Here is a 21,959-nt window from a genome sequence, read left to right as displayed (position 1 = left end):
GCTTTGTAAAGGTGTTATGTTTTAGGATGTGCTTGCATAATAATACAAATAGTTACGTGGTGTAAATTTGAATCATTGTAAAAGACGTCTTGGTAAGAGAAACTGCCATTTCTCATATATTGCTGGTAGAAAATTAGAGTTTTAGTATTTTAAAGAAGTAGACTGGAAAATGTAGTAACAGTAATAATTTTCATAAACTTTGGCTGAGCATTCTTACTCCTATGAGTCTACCTCCCATAAATAGAAGCAGCAGCATATGATATGTGTACAAAAATGTTTATTGTGACAATGTTTGCAGTAACAAAAAAAAAATGGAATTGAGCGATTACCATCAAGAGGTGGGATCTATGAGTGAATTGTGTTCCATATGGTATTGCTGACTGAAAAAGAAAAGCTCAAGAAAAGCACATATATGTCTTTTTTGGAAAATAATAACAAAAAAGTGTGCATATTTGTCTGTATCGTATGTGCACGTACATATCATTCAATGAAAGCAGAGAAGACTAGTTTGTCAAAATGTGTTTTCTTTTGGGGCTGCAGGTATTGAGGTCACTAATAGGAGTTTGAGGAGGAAAGAAGGAGAAGGACTTTAGAAGAAGAATATATATACATGTTTATTTATGTACATATTTGTATGTATGCATTGAAAGAGAGAGAGAGGCAGACAGGGAAAAAAAGAAAAGAGATATATTAATTTTATTAGTAATTTATTACCCCCTCCCAAATTCACTTAGGGGCTCATAAAAATCCTGGTCAATGTAGGCATCTTTAATATTTGCAGAGATGTAGAAATTCTGTCCAGATATATGTAGGGAAAAATGGGACTGAAACACAGATTCTGCATACATATCACCACTTATTAGCTGCATTACGTTGAGTAAGCCTGTAACCCCTCAGCTCCTCCTCTTCCTTAGATGCAAAATGGAGAGGACACTTCCTCCCCTGACACAGCTGGGAGAACCCAATGAGCTTGTGTTTTCTAGACGGTGATACATGATACAGAATGAAAACTCTCATGGTTCTGAATCTGAGATATGGTTCATTACGACAAAAAATTAATTCACATTGGAGGTTTGAGGCATCCTGAAGAATTGAGGTGCAAGCTGTGAATGCATCTGTCATTTTTATTTTGTCTGTGTCTGACTTAATTATTTCCTGTTCTTGAAGATTAGCTGTGATACTTGTTACAGTTAAGTTTCCTGATAGTAGTGTTTGCTGATATTGGCCGTGCAGTGAAAACTAGGTGCTTTTGTATTGATTGGGCAGACAATGGAAAAGAAGATAAAAATATTGCGGGGTTAACATCTTCAAGACATTTTTATACATTTGAACATTTTCCCTATCTAGAATACCCTGCCACGTGGAATGAGAGGGTACTAAAAATAAAAACCTATCCCATTATGCTTACGTATTGTTGAGATATTTATTCATCCCTGGCACTCATATAAAACAAAAAAAATTTTAAGTACAAAAAAGGAAGTTAGACTATGAATTAGGCTCAACAAAACTTCAATAATAAATGCTAATCCTTAAAAGTTGCAAATCTAATCAGTTTCTTTTAATCTTAGCATTAATTTTATGAAGGAGTTTTAAAGCTCCTTTGCCATATAAATTACTACGTAAATTGGAGAGCATCCCTCGTTATCTTAAGTATTTTCTTTCTTTTTTTTTTTTTTTTTTTTTGGGACGGTGGGACGGAGTCTCGCTCTGTCGCCCAGGCTGGAGTGCAGTGGCGCGATCTCGGCTCACTGCAAGCTCCGCTTCCCGGGTTCAGGCCATTCTCCTGCCTCAGCCTCCTGAGTAGCTGGGACTACAGGCGCCGCCAACATGCCCGGCTAATTTTTTGTATTTTTAGTAAAGACCGGGTTTCACCGTGCTAGCCAGGATGATCTCGATCTCCTGACCTCGTGATCCGCCCGCCTCGGCCTCCAAAAGTGCTGGGATTACAGGCGTGAGCCACTGCGCCAGGCCAAGTATTTTCTTAAAAACTGCAAGCAAGATTAGGCAATGCCATCATCTTTTGAGAGTTTTCTTAAAGGAGTTGTCATCAACTAGCTGCGGTTGGAAGGTGGAGACTTTTTCAAAGTAAAACTTGTCTTCCCAAAAGAAACTGATGTGCTCACTCACTATAGAAGGAAGCCATAACTCGCAGGTTGTCCTGATATGACTCTCAATAGAGAACGACACAAAGCATTGGAAAGCCTGTTTCAGTGGTCAGGTTCTTATCAGCAAATAATACTTTCAGCTTTGCTGTTTCTCATCTGTCATATAGGGGTGCATCTAAAGGAACAGCTCAAATGAAGAAATCTGTTTCAGAACTTGTTCCCTGACAATTTTATATCCGTTTTCGAACAGTCTGCAAAGATTATATAGAAAAATTCTATATGGCCTGAGGAATTTACAGATACTGTTTATTCCCTTTCAGGCTGCCTAACTATTCTTTTCTTGTTCTCTTTATCAGTAATATAAGGTTTCACAAACAGTTGTCTGCAGGCAACATGTTCTGAATTTCTTGGCAAAAAGGACTGATGAGAAGCAAAATATGCTAGGTATTTTTTATTTTTGGGTTACAGTCTGATATGCTGGGGACTTAATTCATAATTTTTTTAACACAAGTATGTGTTATAGTGTTTATTTTCATGCCTGGTCTACTTGAGCACTATTAGGTGATGCTTAGCATCTTCATAATCATTGAAGCCCTATTTATGTTTACTTGAATTGGACAGTCTCTTTTGGAAAATGTCAGAGAGCGAGCTTCTGTTCATGTCACATAAAAGTGAGATGAGGCCAGGCACGGTGGTTCACACCTGTAATCCCAACACTTTGGGAGGCCAAGGTGGGTGGATCACCTGAGGTCAGGAGTTTGAGACCAGCCTGGACAACATGGTGAAACTCCGTCTGTACTAAAAATACAAAAAATTAGCCAGGCGGGGTGGCACACACCTGTAATTCCAGCTACTGGGGAGGCTGAGGCATGAGAATCGCTTGAACCCAGGAGGCAGAGGTTGCAGTGAGCCGAGATGGTACCATTGCACTCCAGCCTCCAGCCTGGGTGACAGAGTGAGACTTCGTCTCAAAAAAAAAAAAAAAAAAAAGAGAGAGAGAGAGAGATGAAAAGTTTCTGATGTCAATGCAAGAATTGATATATATGCAACATATCTCATTCTAATGGAATGCTTTCCAATATATCTTGCATTAATAGAGAGATTGATTACTTATATCAAATAGGCATTAAAATGCAAGTATATTTCAGCAGTTTCTAAGCGTCTTTTGAAAATTTTGGAGTAGTAAATGTTATAAGTCATACTCCTAGGTATCATGTTTCCTATGTTGGTGTTATGTCCTTAATTACTTTTTTTTTGGGTAGGAAATGGATCCAGATTAGCTCTTTCTTTGATTGGATTATCTGTTTTCTGGACTGTAAAGCTGTCACTGCATAACCTAGAAACCTCTTTAAAGATGCATGTTTGGCTACATTTGTTATCCAACAGATGTCTGGATAGTTAGAATCTCTTGAGACTATTATAACTTGTGGTTTTGGTTACAATAAGTGATCCAAGCTTTTTTTTTTTTGGTTTTGCTCCTCTCCAGTTCTGGGAGAAAGCCTGTAGAAGAAATTACAAAGAGTATTCCATTTCATTTTCCCCACTCCCTTCTTCCTTTCCTTTATTCTTTGTCTCCGGCTTCAAAGTTTCTTTATATCTGCTTTTGAAATTGAAGTCACCGAATTGGTAAGCAGTGTCTAAATTCCATATCGTTCCATATAGTCCCCAGCTTCTATCACCCAAGAGGTTATTGGCCACCTTGACATTCAAATTTTGAGACTGGTAAATTGCCACTATGATAAAAAAAACTACCTAACTCTATGATTCATGTTTTTTATATATGTCCACAAGGTCAGTTTTTAAACAACTGGTTCAGATTTGTAACTTTATATCCTGATGCTTTAAGTACTTGCCAATTTACCCTCCAGCTATGCATTTTAATATGCACATGTCTGAGGAAGTGGATGTCGCTAAAGGCAAAGGCTAGAGATTCTGTGCACAGGAGAGTTTGTGGTTTTTGGAGGGAGGTGGGTACTGAGAGAGCAAACAGAATAAAGTGGCTTGCTGTCTGGGTCTGGGAAACACCAGCAAGTAGAAACACCTGGGTGGCTGAACTTTTCTCACCTGCAATGTTTCCCTCAGGTGAGCAGGTGCTGTACTTCTTAAAATAACATAGTGGATTATGGTTTTCTAGTAACATCAGCTTCAGTGGGTTTTACATTTCTGCCCTATTTTGAATCTGAGCTTAAAGACATTTTGACAAGTTCAGACAGTTTTTAACCTCATTGTTTCTGACAATACTACTACGTGGAGATTTTAAGTGAATTCTAAATGTGCCTGGAGAAAATACCTCTATAAACAGAAAACCTCCTTTGCCAGAAAATTATTATGCTGCCATGCTAGGTATCTTTTGTAATGATTTTAGTGTGCAAGAATTGTAATTATAAGAGAATAATTGCACTTAAAATATAATAAATTTAATCTTTGGTCTGGTTTAAGAAAATACACCTTATTTGTGATTACTTTAAAAAGAATTATTGTTCAAAATTTGCATATTAAATATGGAGAGAAGTCATCAAACTAGCAAAAGTATTTGTAATACATGGGAAGAAATGCTAGTATACCTAAAAGTATACTAAATGCTAGTATACAAAAAGCATTTAAAAATCAACTAGAAAATTACTTTTTAAAAAGCATAAACATGTGGCCAGAGTTAAAACACAGAGGAATAAATGCCATAATCGGACAATATCCAGCCTCACTAACAGTGAAAGAAACTAACATTGAAACAACTAGATACTTTTAATCTATAATATTGATCATAAATAGGAAAAATATATAAATATGGGTACAAACTTCCTAAACACATTTAGCCACCACAATTAAATATGTAAATGTAAATGTTCATATGCTTGGATTCAGCAATTATACACATGTATATTTTTCTAAGAAATGTAACTCGTAAATATTCACACAAGTAACAGCAACTTTGTACACCCGTGTGTGTGTGTGTGTGTGTCTATCTAAAAGATGTACATCTATAGAGAATTGGGTAATAGTATACTATAGAATAAATATTGTGCAGCCCTCCAAAAGGATGGGGTCGAGCTACACATACAGACCTGGAATGGTTTTCCAAGATAATACTGCTGATGAAATAGGCAAGTGGTATGTGTATATATGTAGATTGGGTACACTTAGCAAATTGTCTGATGATAGGTGATATTATGTAGGCTTTTTACTTTCTAAACACTATGTAACTTGATTTTTAAGCAAGAATTCCATGATGTTTTAAGAGTTTTAAAAATGTTTTAAAATGTAGCGCCTATATATTAATCTTGATATTCACCTGAAATGAAATCACAGTTCTCAGATTGAGTAGCCTTCTCTCTTACATTTTTCTCTTGCAAGTGTTAAGGTCCTACCCCTACACAGATCTTATTTAGAAATTCTTCACTAGTATTTAAAGTGATTGCCTCAGGGCTCAGACAAACAAATGCAATTGTATGATCATTAACAGTGATAATTTCATAAAGTAATAGAAAATAGTATGACTGTCTCTCGCACCTTTTTGTGATCATATGTCAATGTGTCAGTGTTAGCTGTCAATTTGCTGGTGAAGTTTGGATATTTTGATGTAGCATCTGACACAGTGTTGTATGTATTTAACTTTGTAATAAGTATTTCTTATCTTTATTAAAGGATGGATGAAAGGGGAGATCTATTTTTTAAATATAGAAATGTTACCAGGTTCTTATAGTCTAATAGTAAGCATTCTAATCCACATGGCTTCTTGACTTTTAATATGTATGAAATGAAAAGTTTACACTTACCCATACAAATGCTATCTTTACTTTTAGGTCTTCAAAGTTTCTACACACACTTTCAGGCTTTATGTTCCTATTTATGTTCTCTTTTTTTAATCAACAGCATGTTTCCCATTGTATGGTTACCTCTTTTATCTCCCGCAATAAAATTAATTGAAAGCATATTCAACTTACTTAAAAGAGCCATGATCAGTGGTGTTGTTAAATGACTATACTTTCTCAGAAGTAGAGCATGTTTATTTAGTGGGTTATGACTCTGACAAACAAACAGTACCTAAAACTCAGCTGTATATTAGTGTAACGTTTTTTGTTACCCAATGTTTATTTATTATTTCTATCTAATGGTAGAAGACTTACCCTCATCAATTATGTTTATTCTTAGTTCAATCCACTGGCAGCTCCGTTATTCTCAGTTTAAAACAAAATCCCATTTGAGTTGAAAGGTCTTCTCAGATTCTTTCCTCATTTTTTTCCTTGGGGTTGCCTCTGTTCCTAGAAAGTTATTCACGTCCAAGTTAAAAACTGTCCAGTTGATAAGTTGTTGTCTGCTTTTTGGTTCTGTCTTTTCATTCTTATCCTGGACTGCTGTTTCCAATATACCCTCCTCCTCTAATCTGTTTCTCCAGGCATTCTCTATACAATATTCTTTCTAATGTTCTTTCTAATAATGGCCTACTCAACATGGCCTATTTGAATTCAGTTCCCAGTGTTTGTGATCCCTGCAAGACGCTCATCTGGGGTGGCCCATGCTATTTCTTCTGCTGTGGGATACCCACATCACAGCTAATACTGACAGGACCCCAGAATTCTCACTGAACTGTCTCCTATATCAATTATGGGGAACATAGGCGAGCTTTAAGATTTTTTGGGGGGGATAAAACAGGGTTTGAGGTAAACTAAAGAGGGGGGAGTCTCTAGGCTGTTCATGCTCAGACCTACCATGTTGCCATTTCTATTTTCTTATTTCTATAGCATTTTACAAGAGGTAGATCTGTGAAGCTGCTGCCTCCCTGAATCTCAGTTAGAAAATGAGTCATAATGCCTTCTTATGTACAGTCAGTGCTATGATCTGAATCACTACATCTCTCCCAAATTCATATGTTGAAATCTTAGCCCCCAGGTACTGGTATTAGAAGGCTGGCCCTTTGGGAGGTGATTAGGTCATGAGGGCAGAGCTTTCATGAATGTAAATCAATGCCCTTATAAAAGAGATCTGAGAGAGATCTCAGGTGATCACACAGTAGAAGGCACTCTCTGTGAACCAGAAAACTTGATCTTAGATTTCCCAGCCTTCAGAACTCTGGTAAATAAGATTTGGTTATTGATAAGCTATCTAGTTTATGATATTTTGGTATAGCAGCCCAAACGAACTAAGACTGTTTAGAATCTTCAAGTTTTTAAGGAAAATCATATTCTCATCCTCTTCCTTGACCAAGACTTCTCACTTACCCATATGCAAAGGTTTTTTGTTGCTGTTGTTTTTCTGTTTTGTTGTTGTGGTGGGTGTCTTTTTTTTTATGTTTTTATTTCCTTTACTCTCATCCTGGCTCTGAATATTGTTTTTCCTTTTCTTTTGGTGGTCAGGCAGTAGTGGTGTTGGCATTGAAGTAAGGAAATGGGTCTAAGGACTCTCAGTTTCTTTCAGGCTTTTGTCCTAACTGAATTTCAAACTCAAACTCTGGAGTAAACAATTGAAATCTTTGTTTCTTCGTTCATTTCTGACAACCGCCTCAAGAGGCAATTGACCACCCTATGTTTTTAAAGTTCACACTGGAGAAGTCCGGCAGGGGGTGTGGTGGTTAATTTAAAGATACATATAGAGAGACACATCAGTTAAATATGACACATCCTATCATACCACTGAAGTGGTCTTCATCAAAAGTGTAACCTACTACTATGCCATCATTTATGTCATCTTGGGAAAAATGTGACAAATGGAGAATTTTTAAAAAATCCCTGAGGGCTGTTTTGTTAATCTTCATATCAGTTCTGTTAAATCAGGGTGTTTCTAAGCAGTGCAAAAAGGAGTATAATAATCTGTTAAGTTTTCCTTGAATTGATTTTGTGATAATTTTGACTTAGGCTACAGCCAGTATAACTCATATAATGTGAACACGTATATTGTGGTTAAGACCATTGACTCTGACATCAGACCACCTCTTTTAAAATCCTAGTTCTCTCAATGATTGCGTAAATTCTCTTAACTTAAATTTTTTCATTTGTAAAATAAGTATTATTTTAGCATGATTAGGAGCATGAAGTATGATGTTTCATATAAAGCACTTAGCACTGTGCTTAATATAATCATTAAGGCCCTAAGAAAATGTTAGGTCACTTCATTTTTATGATTTTTTTTCCTTTCTACTGAAAAATCTCACAGTCTGAACAACAGAACTAAAAGAAAATGGCTACTATAAAGAAGGCAAGCAGATGTGATTTCAGACAGCCAGTGGGGAAATCTCAGGATATGTTATGAATTAATTTCAAGTAGGTTTGATTTGGGTAAGTGAGGAAGCAGAAAAGTATGAATAGGAGCAGAACCTGTAGCAGAGTGGATTTTGTTCTGGCAAGAAAAGTCTTGGGAAATCCCAAATAAATGTAGACCACATAAGATTCATGGGTTAACAATTTTGCCCCCCTCCACCCTCACTGGGAAAAACTAAATGTACTTGTTGACTCTTAATTTTTCCAATCTACCATTACCAGTTGTCTTAATAAGAAAAAATTGTAGCCCTGCTTTTCTTTCTTTTCTTTTCTTTTCTTTTTTTTTTTTTTTTGAGATGGAGTCTCGCTCTGTCACCCAGGCTGGAGTGCAGTGGCATGATCTCGGCTCACTGTGAGCTCTGCCTCCCGGGTTCACGCCATTCTCCTGCCTCAGCCTCCCGAGTAGCTGGGACTACAGGGCGCCCGCCATCACGCCCGGCTAATTTTTTGTGTTTTTAGTGGAGACAGGGTTTCACCGTGTTAGCCAGGATGGTCTCGATCTCCTGACCTCGTGATCCGCCCGCCTCGGCTTCCCAAAGTGCTGAGATTACAGACATGAGCCACCGCGCCCAGCCAGCCCTGCTTTTCTTTTGCAACTTATTTGTAGGGTTTTTTGTTTGTAGTTGCTCATTTTCTTGTGCTTTACATATGCCTATTTTGAGATTTACAAATATGAATGCCTGGTAATTAAAGCAAAATTTTTTATGTTCCATCACCAAGAAGAAGTTTAACCACAAGGGTCCATTAGATATCTGATACATTTTAGGCCACAGAGGAATTGACTTTTTAAGATTCGCATTGTAGAAATGCAGAGACATGGAAACAAGAAATTGAATATATGAATTTATAACGAGAGAATGACTTCTGTTATTCTGATTGGAAAATCTGGGGCGATCTTAAGTAATGAAATACTTGTCTGCAGCAAAAGTCTCACGTGATTTTGAAATAGTCATATGTCTTTGCAAAGCAAATAAGAAATTGCCTTTGTTTAAAAGCAAGAATAAGACAGGCAAACCACTTGATGATTACAACAGTATTCATGACTTGCAGTGCTGACATTCTGTAGATTGATGCAGTCTTCAAGTGTGGAAATCCTGAGTCATACAGAGGATGAGATGTTTTAATAATTAAAAAAATATTTATATAGTCAGCAGATTGTCAGTAAAGGTGGTTTAGATTACAAGAGTTACCCAACAGAGACTATGTCAGGTTGCAAATTATTCTAACCAGAAAACCATTTGAAAATGAATAAAGCAAACTTAGAGTGGATTGACATACCCCAGATCCTTTTATTTTTTTTCTCCCTCTCATTGTCCTCTTTTATCCTTCTCCTCCTCTTCTTTCGAAATGGGAAAGGAAAACTATTGCTTCTTTATCAAGCATAAAACCAGTATGCTTGTGGTAAAAAGAAAAAGGTGGAGCCAATCTTTTGGCATTCAGGAAGTGTTGTTTGTTCCCAGTACACAAATGCTACACAGTACAGAGATTGCGACTTGTAATTTTATGAGATGCTGCTTTTTTAAAATTAATTAATTTATTATTATTATACTTAAAGTTTTAGGGTACATGTGCACAATGTGCAGGTTAGTTACATATGTATATCTCCTTCTATTTGTTCTTTTGCCCTTTGTGTAGTCCGTTTTGTAGATTGCCTTAATGTCTCCAAACACTAATTGTGTCCTATTTTGTAATGAAATCCATATTTTACAAAATTCTGTGACTAGTTGAGGGATAAGAAATGTTGTTTAATAATAGAAAAACTTTGAACCAAATTGGCTCATTTAGCTATTAAATTTCTGACATCCATCCTGGGTTTACAACAGTTTCAGATCAAAGGTCAAGCAGACAACTTGAGATCCTTGCACCCACACAACAGCAACTTTGCTGCATTTCTACACACATGTTTAAAGAGTTTTGCTTCATGTTTTGTTATTTAGTTTTAAACAACATAGAAGCACCTATTATTCTGTGTTTTTACTCTTCCAAACAATTATACTTCAGGTACAAAAACAAAGAGAACTAAAACAGGTGACAGATGTATTAACTAACTTTATTTAGGTAATCATTTCACAATATATAAGTTCATCAAAGTATCTCGTTATACACCTTAAATATATACAATTTTAATTTTCGATTATATTTCAATGAAGCTGGAAAGAAAAAAAAAACAAAATAAAAGTAACTTCGAGTACGTGCAAATTGAAGGTGCTATGTGAATTGCCCATATCAGAAATTATTCAATTAACTGTATTAGACACAGATAAAAGTCACATTTCCCGTTTTCTGTTTGATAAACTTCTTACTGATTTTAGCTTTGAGTTTGAATTAATCTATGTCCTATTAATCAATGTATACCTTCCTTTTGTCACTATTATTAACTTCTAAATTTTAATTTTTGCTGTTATGATTTTTTAAATCCACTTTAAATACTTTTTGGAGGAAGATAAGATAAAATAAGTAAATTAATAAATAGAATATAGGTCTGGACTGTTAGTTATGAACCAACTGTGTTTATTTTACTGACTATAGTAGACTCAGTTTTTAGCCATCTAATTGCTCACATAGTTTATAGTAATCCCATTGTGGAGTACATTTCAAAATAACAACAGAATTTATTTATCACATTAGTCTAAAAGAATAATTTTGATTGTTACTGAAAGTATTAATTGAAGCACTGCATAAATGCTCCAAAGATTATTTATGTCTTTTTTCTCCCAATATCATCTCCTTTTGAAATTACAAATGTTTCGTTTTTGCTATTTACTATTCACTCATACTCCAAGCAAATAAAAAATATAGCAAATAATTTGTATTGTATAAATAGCACTGTCCTAGTCTTGTGTTTTTGTCACATACTGTGTTAGTTGATTTTTTGAAAATTGTGAGCTCCAGCACAGAATTTGCTTAGAGATCATGATGTCTTCAGGTCAGAACTCACAGTTGCCTGGATTATCATTTTGGTTTCTATATCCAATGTATTGCAGATTATGCTTATTTTTGGTACCATATGTATTAATGTTCTTTATTTTTTCCCCATTGTCATTTGTTCCAGGTCTACAGCATCAAGACAAGAGTAAGGAATCACCGTGGTACTGAAACACACAATCTTAGTGAGTTAAGTTGCAGCATAAATCCAAGGGCCCACTGGGAAAAGATACTGTCGGGTTTTTCCATTCAGCAATAGGACACGAAAGGCATAGAAGGAGAAGACAAAGTGTCACGCAGTTGACTGGTTTTCGGCCTTTCTTGAGAAAGCAAAGTGGGTCCCAGACATTGAAGAAAAGCATTTTTATTTGTTTATTTCCTCATCTGAGCCTTTGCCAACTGTGCAACTCTCTCCTTTTGTTATCTTGCTTTTATCAATATATAGCTAAGTTTTTGTTTCATTTTGATTTTTTTTTTTAGCCAACCACCTTGTCAGGAAAGGATGAACCACACATTAAAATGTTCATTCTTTCAGGAATACAAGTTTGTAGCTCTATGTGCATCTATTTTTGTAGAAATACAAAAAGTTTGGTTTAGCATTGATGGGCTATTTTTGAGGGATGTATTTTTTTTAAAATTGTAAAAATTGTTGAGTTCTGTTTAAAGAACTTGCTCTCAGAGAAGCACTGGCAAAAATGTTTAAAATGCTTATCTCTAAGATGTCTATTATATGCTCTGTCTGTGCTTTCTAGGTTACCTCAAATGTTTTGTTTTTTTCCTTCTTACAAAAGTAGCTATACCGTAGTCAAACCAATGCAGTATTGTTTTTACATTGAATCTCAGTAAAGATTTAATTCCATGCTAGCTCAATTAGTTTTGAATTATATGTATAGCTTGAAAAGTTTTTTTTTAATGACTGTGCTAAAGAAATGATATTTTATTGCTTTGATTTCTCCCAAAGAATAACTTGGAGGTTGACTAATAAGAAAGTTGGCATAAACTTTCAATCAAATGAAGAGTTTGCCTAGAGGAGACTAATTCTCTTTCTAGCCCATCCAAATTTGATAAATGGAACCAGAGGTTATATACAACTACAAGGAAAAAAATGCATTTAACCATGCCACCTATGAGTGCCAGTGACTTATTTTACTTGTTTTTAATTATTCATTCATGGCAATTTAAAAAGTCATATTTTAAGTGGGATTTGTTTTTCCTGAAGGGCATTTGAAGGAACAATATCTGGGAAGGTACTAGAGAAATTACAAAGCCCGAGCTCTTTCTTATAATGCCACCTATCCCTGTAAGCTAAACAAACAAACAAACAAACAAACAAACAGTTCTATATATAATAGTTTCAACACAGAACTTAACAAGTCTCTTTTTTTGTTTGTTTAAATCTGGCTTTACTTGATTTAATTCCTTTTTAGAAAGAAATTTAGGGCAAAATAAAGTGTATATTAGGATTTAAATTTATGCCACAATTTAAAAATAAAACCAGAGGTTATATACAATTTAAATTGGGCTAAAAATTAAAAATTTGAGGATTTAACTTGATATAGCTCTCAGGATCTAAATAAAGTTTAAATTATCATTAAGACACTGCTAGGAGAAGATTAAGATTATGAAAGTAACAGTTATTGATACTGCTGGACTTCAAAGGCAAAGTTCATTTCTTCCATTAACTGCTTCCAGAGATGTCATGTAAAAAAGTTAGTGTATTAGAGAAGTTTTTTAGCTTTATAAAGAGGTTTTTTCAAATTTCTCCCATTTTTCTCTCCACCCACATAAAATAGTATGTTCAGTGAAATGCCACTTTCTATCTTTAATTGTTCGTATCATATATGCGAACTTTTTAGACATGAACATGACATGTTCAGCTAGGCAGAGTTCTCATAGATAATTTTCAAATATTTTCCTTGGCTGTAATTTATGTATTCATTTATATCCTATCCGTCTTTTGAGCTTCAGATCTATATACTCTTTTGTACTCTCATCACTCCGCACTTTGCTGTTTCTTACCTAGACTCTCTTTTACACAATATGCACATTTTTACCATTGTGGGGTCCAAATTTAAGATACCTTCCACTCACTAATAATATGAACTTATATTTCCTGGGAGTAGCCAGGTTAAATTTTCTATACTTTGGTCCATAATTTGATTTGATATGATTGTTTCATTTATAATTTGCCCAAATACATGGAGCACAAAATTTAGTGAATTTATAAATCTGGATTTGCCTTGTGTCCTTCTGAGTTTTCAAAGGCAAGTATTCAACAGTCCCTGTGTGATGACTGACAGGGTTATTTGCCTCATCCACATCCACCTTCGGAATACATTAACTTCCTTTGTAATTTATTTGAAAGTAGTGTTAAACTCATTCAGATCATTCAGTTGGATTTTCCCAATGAAGAGGAAAAGGAAAGTAGTTATTCCTAGCTCCATTTCTTATTTTCCACCAAATTTAATTGAAGGGCATTAATTAGATGTCTTCACCCTGAATTTAGACTTTGCTCTGTGTTCTCCCGGTAACTGTCAGACAAAAAGTTTATTGGCTCTGAGGAACTGAGAAATGTTGGGAACCTGGTTTCTGCTGTACACAGGAAAGATTTGTAAGTGAGCTCTCTCTTTGAAAACAGGACCCAGGCTGGGCACAGCAGCTCATGCCTGTAATCCTAGTATTATAGGAGGCAGAGGCTCGGGAGGATTGCTTGAGCCCAGGAGTTCAAGATCAGCCTAGGCAACATAGGGAGACCCTATCCCTACAAAAAATTTCTGAAAAATTACCTGGGCATTGTGGGGCACACCTGTTGTCCCAGCTACTCTGGAGGCTGAGTCCGGAGGAACGTTTGAGCCTGGGAGTTTGAGTTTGCAGCTTGCAGTGAGCTGTGATTGCACCACTGTACTCCAGCTTGGGCAACAGAGCAAGATCCTGTCTCAAAAGGAAAAAGAAAACAGGACCTAGGTGTTTGGGGTACACTGCCACCCAGGGAGTGGATCAAAAATATACATAGAAAGAGAATGAGCATGTCTCTATAATTGTCTTCTAGGACCATATTGCTGTTAGAAGTCCTAAAAGAGGATGGGTTGTAATTTAGCATAATATTCTGAATTCATTCCAAGTTTAAAATCCTGTCATTCTCTGGCTCTTCTTTTTTCACATCAAAATGATGCTGTTGGACTTAGAGGCTTCCGAACTGTTTTATTGAGGGCTACTATCTGCCTCCACAATTTTATTAAAACCACTCCACCTTTAGACAAAGGTGACTTTTGTCTGATTTTACAAATCAGATTTTATTCAAGCTTTCTAAATATCTGTGAAGTAGACCCTAGAAAATTGTCTCGTTTATTTTAAATAGAATCTATGCTTCCACCAATAAACCATCGGGAGCTAAGAAACAACATAATGTTGACAAATCAGGAACCTAACAGATTATTTTGTCTCTCATTATTAATTTGAAAGAGCCTCTAAACTTTTGAGAAATCAATGTGTCTTCTTAAGAAAGTTAAGCACCCTCTCTTAACTTTCCCCTCTATTTGCTCTCCTTTTTCTTTCTTCTTAAGAGTATTTATATTATTTTGTTAAGCAAAAATGGCTAAGATTGCTCTAAAATTTGCAAAATGAGGAGTGGATTGCAAATAATTGAGGGATTTATTTCTTTAACTTTATAAGACTTTAAAAAAAAAACCCAAATTCTAAGCACTGACATGAAAGTTGCCTTTGAGAAGCTTGTTATTCATTATACAAAAAGTATTTGCCCATTCCTATTCTAAGATTTGCAGAATATGTCACCCTATCTAGCTTTTGAGTTTGCTATCTGGTTTAATGTTGTATTTATAATTTAAAGTGGAAATCAGAAACTGTTTCAAGAACCTGTATTCTATTCCTTACTGAGTGTCCCTTCTTTAAATAGTGTTTGCTGAATTAAGCCGATGGGGGCAGTGGCGTTAAGTGGTGGAAAAAGGAAAGTATATATGTTAGAGTTTTGAATGAGGGATAAATAGAAAGCAGAATGAATTAATGGAAAAGAACTCGGCTGTTAGGCCATTCTCTAAATTCTAGTTTAGCCAAAAGTTTATGTGTGGTTTGGGGCTTCATTTATTTATCTCATGAGTAAAATGGAATAATACCTAACAGGCAGGCTCTGGAAGTTGGAAATCACATACACACACACACACACACAGACACACACACACACGATCAATCATGTAGCTCATATTAGATGTTCAATAAATAACAGCTACTACAGATGCCTATCAGTTGAGTAAGTAGTTCATTAAATTGAGCTCCCAAAGGTCTCTTCTCTTCACATCCATATCCGTTTCTGCAGCAATCAAATAGATACATGATTGTTTTTCTGTAAGAAATTACTGCAAAGAGAATCTTTTTCTCCTACTAACTGTTCCTTCTACCTGGTATAGGAGATAAATGTACGTTTCTTAATTAGCTGACTTTTTAGTATGTCATTTCTGAAGGAAAAATAAATTAACCTTAAAGTGGCATGTAGGTCCAATTCAGTTTTCCTACATGTTCCAAAATTTTATTTAAATTACTGTGTCCAAAATTATGAGGACAGTGTCATTCATTCACCATAGTTTATATTTTTAGTTATATATCAAACTTCCTTGGCACCTAGGATAAGAACATTTCTTTTGAAGTTATCCAATTTTTTTTTATTTTTACTTGACTTGAAGGAAAGTTGGAAAATATGGTGGAAAAAATCTTCCGCATTAAAAGGGGGAAAAACACAACCATTTACGATCTCAGTCAGCAGATTTACTCTACTCAAGGAAAAAAAGAAACAATCTTATTGGAAGCAGATGTTGACACTGTGTCAGTTATTGAAGACGGAAGGAGTTCACTTGAGCCATTGCAGTTACAAAGGGGTATTGATGGCAGTTTGGATTCCTGATTGATCACCTTTGCAGCCAAGGGAAAGACAGCAGAAACTGTATGGGATCAGAAATGAAATCAGCCTGCCAGTTTAATGGAGAGGCTCCTAGAAACTCATTTTTTTTCTTTCCTGTAAGATAAAAGACATCTTTCAGAATAAGAAAGGCTTGTTTGAGAGAGAAATTACAGTTTATTCTCTGAAAATATTTAAAGGCCAAAGTGCCCTTTAAATCTATTATTAAAGCATTGAAACTGTTATTAAAATCATTATAGAAAAATTAGGTAAAAATTTTAGCCTAACTTTCAACATCCATTCAAAAACGAATGTTGAAAACAAACATATAACCTATAAAAAAGTGAATGGCTCTGGCAAGTGGGGGCATGGGTGGAGTCCATAAGGAAACCTCAGTCTCAATAACTTCAAAATGTTACTTTTCATGGTAACTTGGTCATGGAGATTGGTCACAGCACAGACATTTAGAATTTTTTAGCAGGTTTTTTTTTTCTTTTGAATCTTGTAGTGCTCTCTGGGAATTGCACCATGTACACTTTTACAACCTACAGAAATCGTCATTATTGTTAAAGTATCTCAACTTTTCTATTTCTTTTATTGTCTATTGTGCTTTTTTGTTTAAAAATACTTTTATAGTTTTAAAGTATTGGTCAAAGTAGTATTCTCTTGAAGTTCTAGTCAATTTAATTTGATCCAATAAGTTTTTCTGAATCTCCTTTTTAAGTTCCAAGAAATTCTATTATAAATAAGTGTACTTTTACCAATTCCATTGTATAAGCAAACAGACACCTTTTAGAAAAGGATAAGTAATCATCAATTTGTTTTTTTAAAAAAAAAAACAATTTCTAGACTACTAAATTTGGCATAAGAATAATTCTTTTAAAATGCAACATACTTTAATTAGTTTTTTTGGTATATGCATAAGATGTGAACTTTCCTATTGATATCACTTTATATTAATAGAGATGTACATTTCTTTCTATGCCGTGGCTAGAGCAAAAGTTAATAATGATTATTTACACAATTGATTTAATTTCTTAGGATATGTATAATATTGGATATTATATCTGATTTAAAAATACTATTCCATACATTTTTTTTTTCAGGAGATAAAACATAGGGAAAGGTTTTCATGTGAATTCTTTGTATCACTTTGAAGTACATATATTTAAAGGGAAGATGGATACAATTTGTTTTTATTATATAAATCTAGGTAAGGTGAAATGCTTTTGTCAACAAAAATACAGTGTAGTGAATTTTATATTTGTCACTTGATTAGGTAAACTGAAAACTAACAATAGAAATATTATTTTACTGCATTGAAATACCATGAACTTTCAGACTTGTTAGTTCTACAAGAAGTTGTGCTACCTTAATTTTGTGTTTCCAGAAATAAAAATTAACCTTAGTTATGCTGTCATTTTTAACTAATAAAAAAAGTATAATTCATAAAACTTTTGGCTTTATAAGATAATTATAAAATTATATATTTTTTTCTGTTTTTGTGGGGTTGGGAAAACATTTTCTTATTTCTATTCACTCTTCAAATGCAGGTCTCATAATATGTGTCAATGATATAAGATGATGGAAGACTTTGTAATAAAAACATATGTCATTATCTTCAATTTGTTCAATAAATAATTTAATGTGAATTGAATGTTTGTATTTTAACATAGCATTTGGATTTGGTCTGCATTTCTTGAGAATTTAAAGCTCTTTTTGTTTCCTCCTTATTCAATTAAGCATCTTATAAATATTTTGGAAATTACAACATCTTAGGTGTTATTAATTAAGAAGTTAATTTCTAGGGCCAAGAAGTCTATATGTTACAGCAAGGAATAGATTATAAAATACATGTTTATAATGGAAAAGAAAATGAAATGGGGTATATTAATTACATAACAGCAAGAGTCTTGAGAATTTTATAATACAATGCTTCTAAGGATATTGGTTGACCAAGGTGTATTTTATTGTTTTTACATTTGTTGACAGGGACTCTGCCATAAGTAGTATGAAAAAACAAACAAAAACTTTTCTACGATTCATTAACATTGAAAAGAGAATTCCAAGACCTTGTATTCTGAAGAAAGCTAGAGTTTCTCTAAGTGGGCCTTCAATTTTCTTATTACACGTATCTTTAATGTGAAAGTACTAAAGTCTGAAAATCAGCATTTAAATAATAGACTTTCCAGCATTACAGATGAAATAATTTGGCGCAGGCTTTTTAACTGTCTACCATATTTAGAATGTGGTGTCAAAATGAGATTTTTAGAACTGCTGTAAAATATTACTACATTACTACAACGATAACGGCCTAAAACAACACAAATTTATTATCTTACAGCTCTGTCAGTCAGACATTCAGCAAAGATCTTAGTCTTGGTGGGCTACAGAATGTAGGAGGCATTTCCTGGATGCTTCCAAGAGAGAATCTTGCTGTTCCCTGCTTCTAGAGTCCTTTGCTTAGTTTCCTTCCATCTTCAAATCCAGCAACCTGGTCAAGACCTTCTCACATGACATCACTGACTTCCTCTTCTTCCTCTCCCTTACATATTTAAGGACTCATGTGATTACAATAGCTGCATCTGTGTAATCCAGAATAATCTCTTCATCTCAAGGTTTTTGTTCTGTTTTGTTTTTTTGTTTTGTTTTGTTTTGTTTTGTTTTGATGGAGTCTTGCTCTGTCGTCAGGCTGGAGTGCAGTGGCGCGATCTCGGCTCACTCCAACCTCCACCTCCCGGGTTCAAAGGATTCCCCTGCCTCAGCCTCTCGAGTAGCTGGGACTACAGATGCGTGCTACCACACAAGGCTAATATTTTGTATTTTAGTAGAGACGGGATTTCACCATGTTGGCCAGGATGGTCTCCGTCTCCTGACCTCGTGATCTGCCTGCCTTGGCCTCCCAAAGTGTTGGGATTACAGGCATAAGCCATTGCGCCATGCTCAAGGTTCTTAATTACATCTTTAAAGGCCCTTTTTCCATGTACAGTAACATATTCAATGGTTCTGGGGATTAGGACTTGGAGCCATTATTCTACCTACAACAATTAGTATTGGACTTCCATCATTTTCTATCACTCTTGTAATCGAGAAGGACTATTTCACTGGGAGTAGCAAGTCATAATGTTTGCGTTGGCATTTGTGTGGGGGTTTATCTTCATTCATTAAATAATTGCATGTAAAGAAAATTCCTGTCACTATTTCAAATGTTTCATGTAGTTATTATAGTGCTTCAGAATCCAAAGGGTTATGTGTTACTTATGTAAGATGAGCAGTCTAGGGGGTGGAGAACAGGTCATCTAGTGCAGATTCTTCCTAGCTGAAGTGTGTTTTCTCTGGGGACAACCAAGTAGGATTTAATTGTTTTGCTTCCTTTTTTGGGAACTTAGACCCATCTTGCGATGTCCTAAGTCTCCAAGCATCTTATTTGACCTGCTTATACACATTTGACTAAATAGCTAAATATGACCACATTGACGTGGTAAAGCTTTAACACTTTTGTCCAGATTGAATCACTCCATCTGCTATCAGTTAAGCAGTGGAAAACTGTTATGGAAAAGCAAACATGTTTTGATAGATTTAATGTGTAAAGAAGGTATCCATACTCTGGAATGCTGCTGATCAATAAATGAGCTGCAAGACTTTGTTCGAAACAACACTCAAGCACAACTGTTTTACTTTCCATACCAAGTTTGGCTGTGACTGAATGAAGAACATCAGCATTGATCTTTGCTTTGCACTTGTACAAGAGACTATTTGCAGAGAGCCAAATATAGCAACAGAGGATTTAATATCTTGCCAAAAAATACAAAATCTGTTCCCCTTTAAGCATGACACTCTATCCTTTCTTGTGGATCTTGCTAAAAGGAAAATATAGCTTTAAACTCCCCTATTCCTTCTGTTGAAAGCTTAAGAATCTTTTTCAAATGAGCTATGTATGGTTTTGTGGTATTTTATGTTTCCAAAAGAAAATGGCTACATGAAAAATCTGTCCAGTGTTATCATTTTTCTTACAAAAAATACTTCTAGTTATGGTTGTATTAATTAATTTGATTGTGATAATGATTACACAATGTTTACCTATATCAAATCATCATATCGTATACCTTAAATATATATAACTTTTATGTGTCAATTATAACTCAGTAAGTCTGGGAAAATATCGTTAAGTCAAAGATTAGAGTCAACAGAAATAAAGAAAAATCATACTTTGATAACTTCAGGACTAATCAAGGATCAATGGGTGACATGATATCATGCTATGTGCCATTTTGTGTTAAACAAATTACACCAACAATAAAAAAAATTGGCTTCAATCAACGAGGTTCTTTCTTTGTCTTAGAACATGGGTGCTTTGTTCTGAGTGTTGTCTGATGGGTAGGCAGATTAGTTTAGATTTCTCTATAATGTGGTTAATGACAATAGCTCTTCTGCTCAGTTTATGATGCATATAAAGAATTTTGAAAGTAGTCTTACAAACTTCACCATGAAGTTTCTGCAGTGACAGCTTTACCAGACATCTCCGTGTGGGATTTTAAAACAAACACAAGGCTGTTTGGAAATACTTGGTATATATAAATATGCAAAATATGCTGAACAGCGCTAACAGCTGTAGGGTGAACTCCCTCATCCTTGAGCAGAATATTTTGGTGGCAGTGTGGTTATTTTTTCCATCTTTGCTTTTAATTCCCGCCCCCCCCCCCGCTCTTTTCTCCACCCACTCACCCATCTACAATCCACTCCAAAAGCACAAATTTAACACCCTTCCCCCTACTTCCACACTGCTTCCAAGAAAATCATTTTAGTAGATTCCCACTGGAAAAGGTGGGTGGTGGCTTGATGGAATGTTTCTGAGTTACACGATGTTGTAAAGCCTGAGCTTCGGGGAACTTGCTTGGACTTGATCTGACATCAGGCTCACACACAGCCCAGACACTCTGCAGGCCAGATTCCATTAAGGCTTATCATTGCAAGAAGAGGAAAAGTCCTGTTGTGAGTGGCCCTCCAGCCATGATGATTCCAAAGATGGCAAAATAATCATTTTAAGTGTGTGCTATCAGGTTCTGTAACATCAAGGCACTCATCCTTTTATGAAAATAAGCATATGCCCTATTTTCATATGCCTTTCCTCAGAGCCCGAAAATGGAGGGAGGACACAAGAAAAGTTAAAATTCAAAGTTTCTTCTTATGGTATCTTGAAGAATTGAAGGTTTGAAGGAAAGAAGGTACCAAATATGAAGAGAGAAGGCCCACATCCTAGGACCATTTCCACTGGTGATTTGTTGATATTATTTAATCTTATATTTCTGTTTATCTGTCCAAGGAAGATCAAGTGAAATAAATCTAAACTGATTTGGGAAAAATAAAGTGCTATATAAATACAAAGAAATAGGAACCAATATTTAATGAAAGTCATTGATCTATCATGAGTATTACATGAATTCACCTCAAGTGATTCTCACAAATAGCAATATGCAGATAGCATTATTTGAGAAGCTGTTAGCAATATAAAAATGGGGGTTGAGTTTCAGCAATGCTACTTAGAAGCTGTATATTTTGGATAATTTTCTTCACCTCTTTAAGTCACAGTGTGGTCATCTGTATGTAAAATGAAGATTTTTTTTTTTTTTTTTTTTTTGAGCGGGAGTCTAGCTCTGTCACCCAGGCTAGAGTGCAGTGGCTGGATCTCGGCTCACCGCAACTTCTGCCTCCTGAATTCAAGGGATTCTCCTGCCTCAGCCTCCCAAGTAGCTGGGATTACAGGTGCCTGCC

General features: G+C 35.2%; 1 protein-coding gene across 3 annotated transcripts in view; it reads left to right on the top strand.

Moving 5' to 3' along the window:
• VGLL3 (vestigial like family member 3) overlaps positions 1-20,503 on the top strand; it is a 53,177-nt gene extending 32,674 nt beyond the window's left edge. For all 3 annotated transcript variants that reach the window (NM_001320494.2, XM_006713138.5, NM_016206.4), the window contains exon 4: positions 11,409-20,503. In NM_001320494.2, the coding sequence (NP_001307423.1) occupies positions 11,409-11,452 (44 nt within the window). In that variant the 3' untranslated portion in view covers positions 11,453-20,503. The remainder of the gene's footprint in view (positions 1-11,408) is intronic.
• Positions 20,504-21,959: the final 1,456 nt, after the last annotated feature.

This window comes from Homo sapiens, chromosome 3 (assembly GCF_000001405.40).
Source record: "Homo sapiens chromosome 3, GRCh38.p14 Primary Assembly".
NCBI classification, from domain to species: domain Eukaryota; kingdom Metazoa; phylum Chordata; class Mammalia; order Primates; family Hominidae; genus Homo; species Homo sapiens.
The sequence above is the reverse complement of the archived record's forward strand: the minus strand, read 5'-3'. Positions and strand labels throughout refer to the sequence as shown.